The sequence below is a fragment of the Homo sapiens genome, chromosome 6 (assembly GCF_000001405.40).
Source record: "Homo sapiens chromosome 6, GRCh38.p14 Primary Assembly".
Taxonomy (NCBI): domain Eukaryota; kingdom Metazoa; phylum Chordata; class Mammalia; order Primates; family Hominidae; genus Homo; species Homo sapiens.
In genome coordinates this window covers 105583514-105594535 of record NC_000006.12, presented here as the reverse complement: position 1 = coordinate 105594535, position 11022 = coordinate 105583514, and the positions used below count along the sequence as shown (strand labels likewise).

Here is an 11022-nt window from a genome sequence, read left to right as displayed (position 1 = left end):
AGGAGCTGGATGGCAATACTGTAGGAGGTTCAGGCACATATGGTGACTGACAGCAGGACCTACTGAAGGTATTTTGCAAACCTTTAAAAAACCAGCGTGGCAGGTCAGCTCTGTTAACTGGAAGTCACTTCAGAGAAATTGGAAACTAAGCAAGTTTCCAAACTAAGAATACAGTGTAAGGGCTTCAATGAAAGAACCCCAAACATGCAGAGCCTAGAGAAAAGGCTTGAGTCAGGGCTGGGAACCAGGATGCAGTTTTGGGGAAAAGGTTTAGAAGTAAAGGAAAAAAGCCCTTAAGGCTGATCTCTGCAGCTGGAAAAGGAGAATTCAAGACTTACAGGAACAGGTACCAATTAACATTTGGCAGGAAGGCAAGAAAAGCCTCGGGAAAATGCCAAGGATTTCATCAGGATAAATTTGTATAAGAACGTTAAGTCCAAGAGCACCAGATGGCATTTTCTGAGGTACTTGGTATTATAAACAGAGATTTTTGATATAGGCATTTCCTCAGAGACAGAGGAAAAGTCACCCGCAGATTTTTATGTGAGGGCTGATAAGTGGCACCAAAGAAGGCTACACACAAATGACCATGTCCTTGTAGAGATGTGGTGAAATGAACCAGAAAAGGAAGCCAATTCCCTTCTTCTGCCTAGATTTGTTTTCTTTGGCCTACTTGAGGCTTACTGAGGTAATATACAAGCTCAAAGAGATAAACTTTTGGTATCTCTTTTAGGAAACCCATTTTTCATGTCTTTTTCCAGAAATCATCCCTTTATGAGACTGGAAACTCTTTTCTGCTATCTTTTGCCTATCAAAGAAGAGAAGATTAAGATTTTCTCCTGGGTAATATACAGCATTACAGAAAGTTTCTGAAGCTCTTTGAGTTTTTTGGAAAATAGCATTAAGAGAAGTTTATTTTCATTCATGTTTTCATTCATCTTTTCAAGATGCTAAAAGTAGGGCATTTGTTTCTCTACTTTGTACACAAAGGTCTCCTGTCTTTGTGTCTTTCCTCACTCATTTCCTTTTCTCTGTCTCCCCACCCCTCCCCACCCCCTCACCCGGCCCCAGCTGGCAACATCTTCTTATATCTTCTTTGTTCCCTTCCTAACTTCCACCTTGGTGTATTCTTCCATATGGCTTCATATGCTTCAAATAAAAGCCCATTGTCCATCTGACAAGTCACTTTTCTCCTGTCTTTTATATTCCTCCTCATGAGTCACATCCCTTGGAAGCCCATCTTCCTTTCAGAGTGTCTTTCTTTCTAAACCACTTCAGATCCTGAAATGATGAAGATAATCACAACAATGCCACATTTTCCTGACTTCTTTGTCACGTAAATGGTCTCAGAAAACTTCCTTTCCAAAATTTTCCATTCTTTTCCTTTTATGACGTCTTTTGAGGGACTGTTGTGATGAACAAAAGCACATTTATTTATAAAATACATGGACGAGTCAGAAGGAGCCTGTAATATATCAGAACACAGATGCAGTGAGAAAGACCCAGAATAAGCTTGCCCACTGCTGAGGGGAGAGAGACCCACTGCAGATTTCCACCTAACTGAAGACAGAGCAGATAGCAAAGCCACCAAGAGCACTACCTCTGGAATACACAGATCTGGGTTTGAGTCCCAGTTTCAACATTTTCTAGCATGTTAATCCTGCAAAGCCTCAGATTCCACTTCTATAAAATGGGAATCATAATATGACTCATGGCCTTGTTTGGAGGTTTAGTTCAGACAATATACGTGAAATGCCCAGCAAGGTGCCTGCTATACACACTGAATGTTCAATAAGTGGGAATTATGATTATTAGATGCAGAAAGAGCATCCAGGGGATAGGTAGAGGTTTAGGGAGGCAGACAGTGGCACACAACCCAACACAAAGTACTAGGCATGAGAAACAGAGGGAGGCGGTTCTCCACTCACCGGGAGGACAACCAAGTGGCCAGGAGGAATCCTGGGAACAGGCAGGTTACTGGGAGTGACTCAGGCATCCCTGGGTAGGGGCCAGGTCTTACAAGGCAGAAACCCATAAATCAAGAAGTTGAGATCTTGGCCAGATGAGTTTTAGGGATGCCTTAATACTGAGTTCTTTCTGAGTCAGGCCAGGTTTGGTTTCAAGACTAGGAAGGGCTGGTAGGTCTCAGTAGTCAGCTGTGTAGCCCCTTTTCTTATAAGTCTAACAGAACTATTTCTTTATTGCACATGGTAAACATGCAAACAGGAAATTATCCTAAAAGGAATCACTGAGAGATGGCAGTTCAAATTTTCTCCAAGGTAGTTGTGTTTGAAAAAGACTCTTTCCTCAGACCTAATGTTCTTAGGTATTAATATCCTGCTCTACCTAACAACATCCAGGACTTTCTTTCCTTTGTATCTTGTTTGCCTGAGCAACACTCTGCAAACCTTCCTTCTGGATCTGCCTGCTGGTTTTACCCCCCAGTCCAAGAGTTTAAGGCTGTTCCCTTACATTAGATTTAATTCAATTACTCTTTTTTTCTGATTCGGAAACATCAATATAAAAAACTAATATAATTTATGTCTCTTCAAGTGTAATTATTTCTATTAATGTGATGGAGAAGCAACATCTTTTTAAAATACACATATTTAGTATACCGAGTTTTCAAGAGCTTAGTTTTGGTGGCAAATAAATGAATACCAAGTCATAATGTATATTTTTTAAATTTGATATGTGTGTAGCTACATCAAAACAATATTTGATTAAACTATACTCTGGAATATAAACTGACTTGTGGTGAGTTAATATATTAATGAGGTGTTTTGAAGACTTCTTATGCCATATAGATGTTGTATTAGTTGATTCCTGATTGTCTTGAATTTTGCAACAGGCATCTAATCTGTTGGTGGTTGTTGTTGTTGTTTTATAGCCTCCAAAAAACCTCTTCTACCAGGCCCTTCCTGGACACATTGGTCACTCCATAAATACTGTGGATAGATTAGCAAAACTTGAACTGTATATCCATAATGATTCACTTTTTTATTTTGCATCAATTTACTGGCAAAATTTGAGGGATTATCAACTTGGCTTTTACAAATAACAGGGAATAGCCAAGTTGATAGGGGAAGTGCTGAAAAATCCATGAAACAGACCGGGACTAGGTAAGGGCAGAGAAGGAATGAGGGATTTTGCTGGCCCAAAAGGCTCAGGTGTTTCTCTACAACTGCATATGGGGCAGACAAGTTGTCCAGGCACTCAATAGCTGTCATCTACAGACTTAAGAGTAGAAAGTTTGTTTTCAGGAAGTGGCTAGTGGAATTTCCCAACTGCAGACAGATAATCTAGAAGGTGGGGCAACTGAAGAGTTGCTAATAGCCTCTGACTATGTTAGGGAGTGTCTATAAATCAGGCCATTCTTCAGAAGGGGGCATTGGGGGCGGGTCCTAAGTAGCATCTCAGGATTGCTGAGAGATTCACAAGGCTGGAGGGAGACTAGAGATACCTACAAAAGAAACTTTAGTTCTTAAAACCCACCACCCTTTCTCCCTTTCATGCTGGGATAAAGGGAGAAAGAAATGACCCAAAGACAAAAAGAATGCAATTCAAGAACAGGTTGATGGCATCTACAAAATGGAAAGAAGAGATAGCTTCTTCTAGCATCTCTTTATTCTAATCTTTTTTAATGCCTCCACTATTTATTTATTTATTTATTTTATTTTTTTTGAGACAGAGTCTCACTCTGTTGTCCAGGCTGGAGTGCAGTGGCACGATCTCAGCTCACCGTAACCTCCGCCTCCTGGGTTCAAGCGACTCTCCCGCCTCAACCTCCCAAGTAGCTGGGATTACAGGCATGTGCCCATGCTTGGCTAATTTTTGTATTTCTAGTAGAGACGGGGTTTCACCATGTTTGGCCAGGCTGGTCTTGAATTCCGCACCTCAGGTGATCTGCCTGCCTCAGCCTCCCAAAGTGCTGGGGTTACAGGCATAAGCCACCATGCCCGGCCTATGCCTCCTCTTCTTATGCTTGGAAGTGAAGGTGAGCACATTTTAAACCCTTGGTACACCTTATTTGTTGAACTTACTGCTGATGCTCCAGGGTTCCTGAATCCCCAACTTTCCCAGCACCAGCTGCTGAACTCTCCAGGGCTTCTGCGCACAAAGCCTGTTCCCAGGAAGTGGGAGAGCCCTCTCCTTGGAAGAGAAGCCTCCCAGTACTGGCCAGAGGGGAATTTTGAATACTGAAGTAGACAAAACCAAATGAATGACATGCTTTCTCAAAGAATGAAGAAAAATAAAATAGAAAATAAAAAAGTGTCTGTTCCTTTTCTCCTCTAAATGAAACTGTAATTAAACTATTTCTGGGATGTTGAGGTTTTATTCCACTGCTCTTTCCCCTATTCTGTACTCGTACAAGTCAAGGCGGTATGAAATTTACCCATAGAACAAGCTTCACAAAGTGAAAAGATGTGTTAGGATTCCACTACCGGATAAATTCCCCCTACAGGCCCTGAAATCTGCATACTTGCAGCCTAAATGACATTGGAATGGGAGATCTTTGAATATTGATTTCTAGCTCCTAAGGGTATCAGACCTTCCAAAAAATATCTCCCAGGTGAATCATCTTAGTGGACTTTTGCCCTTGACACTGAATTTTCTCCTGCTCCTTTCCCTCCCACAAATATAATCCCATCAAAGAGGGAATTGTTTTATTCCACAGAAGAGACCTAAAATAAATGAGACTTTCTTGGGAAACTCATTTGTGTAGATAGGCGGCCTCCTAGGAGGCTGACCCTTGCTTTCTTTGGCTCTCAGCCTCCTCTTGGCATTTTCAGGGCAGGTTCCTTGACTGTCCCTTTGACCCCAGTAAGGTCAGGCCAGCATATGTTTAAGAGACACGTGTCACTTCTCCCACTGAGTAGCCCAACATAATTCCTATTTCATGCTTTGCTCTGAGTTTACCTTATCTCATCTTTCCTCCTTCTGTTTTTTCTAATCCTACAAGCTTTATTCTTGATATCCCAGCTTTTCCATCTCTCTCTTCTAATCACCCCCAACCCATATTTCATACATCAGTAAATCCCTCCATATATTGGACTGGTGCAAAAGTAGTTGCTGGTTTTGTCGTTAAAAGTAATGGTGTATGTAATCCCAACTTCTCGGGAGGCTGAGGCAGGAGAATCGCTTGAACCTGGGAGGCGGAGGTTGTGCTGAGCCGAGATCGTGCCATTGCACTCCAGCCTGGGCAACAAGAGCAAAACTCCATCTCAAAAAATAAAAATAAATAAATATAAATAAAAAAAGTAATGGTGTAAAAGGTGTAATTCAGTAGCCACTGATAACAAACCACTTAAACCTTCTTCCCTCATTTTCCCCAGGAGACAACTGAATCAAAGAACCATCATGGGCTTTGCTTTACAGGAACCAGAAATCCCAAACCTACCTGCTTCAAAAATGTTAAAATGAGATTGAACCATATAAGGGTTCAAAAGGATCACTCTCTCTAGCTGAGACAATGATTTATTTTCTCCTCACTTATGAGATTATATCTACTTAAAAAAAAAACTTCCAGCCATCTCACCAGATGACTCACTAGTATATTATAAGATATATGAGAACCCCTATATCCTCAACATTCATCAAGGTTTGTACCATATAGAAAATCCTCAGTCTCCCAAGTTAAACCAAAGAGAGAGAAGTTTATTTTATCTGCATCTGTTCCTCTAATCTGTTCAACCAAGTTCATCCTTGAGCTATTATGTATACTGAGGAACTTTATTTTGTCTTCCATCTATTTAGCAATGCATTCTACCTCCCATGAACATAACATTTTTGCTTCCATTGTAACCCTTGATTGGAAACTTTCTATCCCCTGGAGAGAATGGAGAAATAATTGAGCCAATCTTGGCCAGTCTTATAAAAATTCACAGATGCTGCTTTGAATAGAATTGTTCATAATGGTTCAAAAGAGGCTTTCTGCTGTAACTTTCATCTCAACATATGAGGTGGGTGGTGGGGAGAGAGGAAATGGATCAGTGGCCAAAATCAAGGTTGATCCTGGCTCTAACCCAAGCCCCACCCACAAACACCATCTAAAGCAAGACCATTTGTCAGCACTTCATTCACAAGCATCATTATCAAAATTCCACAATTCGCTGGTGGTATCAAAGGTTTGTTTTAATGGAAATGATTTATATGGCATCTTCTCTGTGAAGAGTCAGGAAGGTCCATTTGGAATCTCGACTTTGAACACGGTGGTCTGAGGACAGTTACATGCTGTGGAGTCAAAAGCCTGCTGCAGACTGCGCTGAAATGGATGCTACAGATGTCACCCAGAACCCAGTGAAATGAAGAACTTCAACGAGCTAGGAAAGAAAGTGAAGAGGAACGTTTTCCTTCTGACATTTCTCTAACAACTGTGTCTAACCTGAAAATGTGGCTCCAATCCTTTTCAAAACTATTATTTTCTTTACAGCAAAGTTCTAAAAACTTGGTTTCTTTTGATTTCTCCCCCTGGCAGGAAAATGACACATTTGGGGCCAAGGCATGAAAGCGTGGCCTCTTGGGAGAAGGGGGAGGGCTATTGCTTTCGAGCCCGCAAACAGTTGCAGGTGCAAAAAATGTGCACACAAAAGGGGAGGTCTGGTAGGGGCCCCTTTTCAAATGTAACCTTTTAAGTTCAATACATCTCTTTGCTCTTCCTTTTGTGAGCTGCGTGCTTCCCTCCCACGCTCTAATGCACATCCCGGTCTTCAATGTGGCCTCCAGAAGGAATCTTCATGTTTGTTGTGAAGTTTTCCGTAATTACATAATCGTTGAAGTCTGTGAGTTCGTGTTGAGGTGGCTGAAAAATGCGAGCTTGAGGATTACAGTAACATAATTAGATCGCTTCCTGTAAGAACCCAGCGACTTTTCCCTGGGTCCGTCTTCGATTGGCTGCCCTCCGAGGCCTTCCTCCTCCCGAGTGAATCACAGCCCGCTCAGTGGGCATTTCTGCCGGCCAACCGCTCCAAGGTGTTTCGCGGCATCTGTTTGTGTTGTGGGTGAATTCTACAAACACACTCTGTTGATTTGATTATGAAGGAAGGAGCAACAAAGCCAGAGGGCTGTGGTTTCTTGAATGCCTTTGTGTCTATGTGGTGACAGAACCAGTGCTTAGTTTGTCTGGGCCACGGTACCTTGACTCATCCGGTGGTGTCTAGAAGCCTTGATTCCTTGCCTTGGGGTATAAGGGGAAAGAAGGAAAGAACACAGCTGAGTTTTAGGTTTTTAATAGAATTTGATATCTGACATGCATCACTTATGAATTTTTTCTAAGTCAGCTGGATAGTGAAGATTATATATTAAAAACAAACAAAACCAGAAATAGCTTTTTATTACCCACAGTATCATCCCCTTAGAATACACTTTCCCAGCACCCAGCGATCCTTAGAAATAATTATCCATGTGATCTCTAAACCCTTTCTTGCTCTCCTTTGTTCAGTTCTCTGGGTGTGTTTGCTGCTTAGTTTAATCCTGGCTCATGCACAGACCCTAGTTTTTTTTTTTTTTTTTTTTTTTTTAAGCATAGGTGAAGATGTGACAACAGCTGATTATCTTCTAAATAAAAGTGACTTCACCACATAGGAAAGCTTTGCACAGCTATCTTGTTATTTAGCTGGTTTCCATGAAACTTCTGTTGTCCGTCGATAGTCCAGGCCAAGGGAGTAGCTGTGAAATAAGAATGTCTTCAGGGTTATAGGAGGGAAATCTCCCCACTTTATTTGGTTTTGTAATAAAGAACAGGAATCTGAGATTCTATCATTGATGCCAGAATATAACATCTGATTTTTTTTTAAGTGAAAAGACAGGTGGGTCTCAAGTGAAAAGAGTATACATCTAGGCTGGGCGCAGTGGCTCATTCCTGTAATCCCAGCACTTTGGGAGGCTGAGGCGGGCAGATGGCTTGATCCCAGGAGTTGGAGACCGGCCTGGGCAACATAGCGAAACCCAGTCTACAAAAAACACAAAAATTAGCCAGACTTGGTGGCACACTTCTGTAGTCCCAGCTACTTGGGAGGTTGAGGTAGGAGAATCACCTGAACCTGGGAAGTCAAGGTTGCAGTGAGCTGAAATCATGCCACTGTACTCCAGCCTGTATGACAGAGCAAGCAGAGTGAGGCCCTGCCTCTCTCTCTTTCTCTCGCTCTCTCACAGCCACACACACACACACACACACACACACACACACACACACGTATACATCTAATTTGGGAGAGTGTCAGGACTGGTTCAATTGCCAGTTACTACATTTAGCAAGCACAGAACCCTTCTTTGGAGCAGAGAGTTGATCAGAGTTCGTGGATCCTCAAGTAAAAATGTCCTGGAAGTCCCTCTTCATTCTCCTGCTCTGAGAGACTCCTTTGCCCCGCTCTCTGGAATCCCTCATTGTTGGACATCAAACTGCCCATTTATTCTGTTGGGTTTGCTCCCACAGTTATTCTAGCTTCATAAATACTATGTGCATCAGGAAGTGATTTATCTTTTTCTCTGCTTCCAAAGAGTTTAAACAACATTACTCAATTTTTTTTCTTTTTTTTTGAGATGGACTGTTGCTCCATTGCCCAGGCTGGAGTGCAGTGGCGTGATCTTGGCTCACTGCAACCTCTGCCTCCCGGGTTCAAGCAATTCTCCTGCCTCAGTCTCCCAAGTAGCTGGGACTACAGGTGCGTGCCACCATGCCTGGCTAATTTTTTGTGTTTTTAGTAGAGACGGAGTTTCACCATGTTAGCTAGGATGGTCTCCATCTGCTGACCTCATGATCCGCCCGCGTTGGCCTCCCAAAGTGCTGAGATTACAGGTGTGAGCCACCGCGCCTGGCCTATTTTTAAGTATTTGAAGGACTCTCTTGGAAAGCTAACTGAGTTCTGTGACTTTTGGTGAGGTAGCTTTAATAACATATCTCCTTGCTTTTTGAAAACAACTCTTCTTGATTGTCTTTGCCAATTTCAGCTCCAGATAATAAAAATATTAATGATGTCTATTACATCTAAACTGTAGGTTTTCTAAATGGCCATAAGGTAGTATAAAGATTTGCTTCCTTGCTTTATAAATTGAAAGCTAATATCAAAAATTAGATTTGTTTGGCATTCTCAAATTTTAATGATCTCAAAATGATTTCAGTAGTTCTCCAATTAAATGTATGATAAAAGAAACAAAACCTTGACAAATTAAACAAGAGGTTCAGTTTTTTAAAGTAAAATGTATTACTATAAATATGCTTCTGATTAAAAGGAGACATACTCATGCTAATGCATAACGACTGGTGTGGTAATTGTCAATATAATAACAAGGGGTAAAAAAAAGATAGATTTAAATGTCATTGTCAACTGATGGCATTTGTAATATAATTTATGGACTAAATTAATGATTTGTCAATGTTCTCAGTGTCCACAATATATCCTTACTCCCAGAATAATCAGTGACTAAGTCTCCATCAAATTGAGTATGTATAAACCTCCATAGTAGAGTCACCTATTTTCTAATAGTGTTGTTTATATTGTATATTATAATACAACAAAAATTATTGTTATAAAAATTAATCAAAAGAATTTAATATTTTACCTGCTCTATAGTTATCTATGGCTGTGTAACAAATTACCCTAAAATTTACTAAGTTAAAACAGCAAACGTTTATTATCTCATAGTTTCTGCTGTTCAGGAATTTGGGCATGACTTAGCTGGGTGCCTCTGGCTCAGGGTCTCTCACGAGGCTGCAATAGAGGTGTTAGCTAGAGCTCAGCTGGGAGAGGATCCCATTCTGGGCTTAGCAGGAGTCAGCTCCTTGTGGGCTGTTGGACTGAAGGTCATAGGTACTTGCTGGCTATTGGCTGGAGATACCGTCTCCTTGCCAAGTGGGCTTCTCTATCAAGCAACTTAAAACATGGCAAGTGACTTCCATCAGAGTAGTCCAGCAAGAGACAGAGAGAGGACAAGCAAGAGGAAAGCCATGGGCTTCTTGTATCCTAATCTTGGAAGTGATATCCATCTCTTTCTTATATTTAACTAGTTAGAAGCAAGTCAGTAGATACACTCACATTCAAAGGGAGAGAACTGCACAAAGACATGAACACTAGGAAGTGGCTCATCATTAGGAGCCGTCTTAGATGCCAACTACACACTCAGTGTCCACAGGTGTTCCTGCTTCTTCCTATAATTATCCTGGCTCCAGCTATCATCAGAAATGGACTCTTCTAGAAGAAGCAGTACAAGGCCTCAGCTTTCTGCTGGTTCAAGATTCTAGGTGATTAGCAGACACTCCTGACCAATGGTTGTGGTGCTTCCCAAACCATTACCTTAATAATAAGCAGATATGGGACCAATTCTACGGACTCTGGCAAAGATATGCCATTCATGTCCAAATTAAATGAAAAGGCTACGTGACGCTAGCTATCGAATGTATTAGGGATCTGTCCTGGTATTAGCTACCTGCTGTATTAGTTATCTGTTGCTGTATAACAAGTTACACAAACTTGGTGGCTTAAAGCAAACGAACATTTATTTTCTCAGACGGAGTACTGTAGGTTAGAAATTTGGGAGTGGCTTAGCTAGACTGTTCTGGTTGGTGTCTCTCAGGAGGTTGCAGTTGAGATGTTGTCTCTCAGATGATGTTGCAGCTCATCTAAAGGTTGGACTGAGGCTTCAGGATCTGCTTTCATAGCAGCCACTTGCAGGACGAGCAAGTTAATGCTGGTTGTTGGCAGGAGGCTCGTCGCTACATGAGCCTCTTCCTGGGGCCATTTGAGTGTCCTCATCACATGGTAGCTGGCTTTCTCCAGTGAAGAGAAAGAAATTTCAATTGATTGTGGGGCACATGGAAAATGTTTCAAACTTCCATAATGATCCTGGTCTTACTGTTTTGGCCATGTTGCCAAAAATGTATGATTTCCAGAGTGTGACATTCTACTACTAGGTTCTGTCGTGCCAAATGATTCAACAAATGTTCATCCCCAACAAAAGGACAAGAGCCCCTGTGCTTGTGGAGGTCCATACACAGACAGTAAATAGGCGGACTAGTGGCTAATT

At 41.5% G+C, this 11022-nt stretch overlaps 1 annotated feature.

The window, feature by feature from the left end:
* Nucleotides 3441-3490: an enhancer, noted in NCBI's record as "active region_24873". NCBI's record gives its function as "activates an Ori minimal core promoter by ATAC-STARR-seq in GM12878 lymphoblastoid cells {active_cell/tissue: GM12878}" and the evidence as "EXISTENCE:reporter gene assay evidence [ECO:0000049][PMID:35858748]".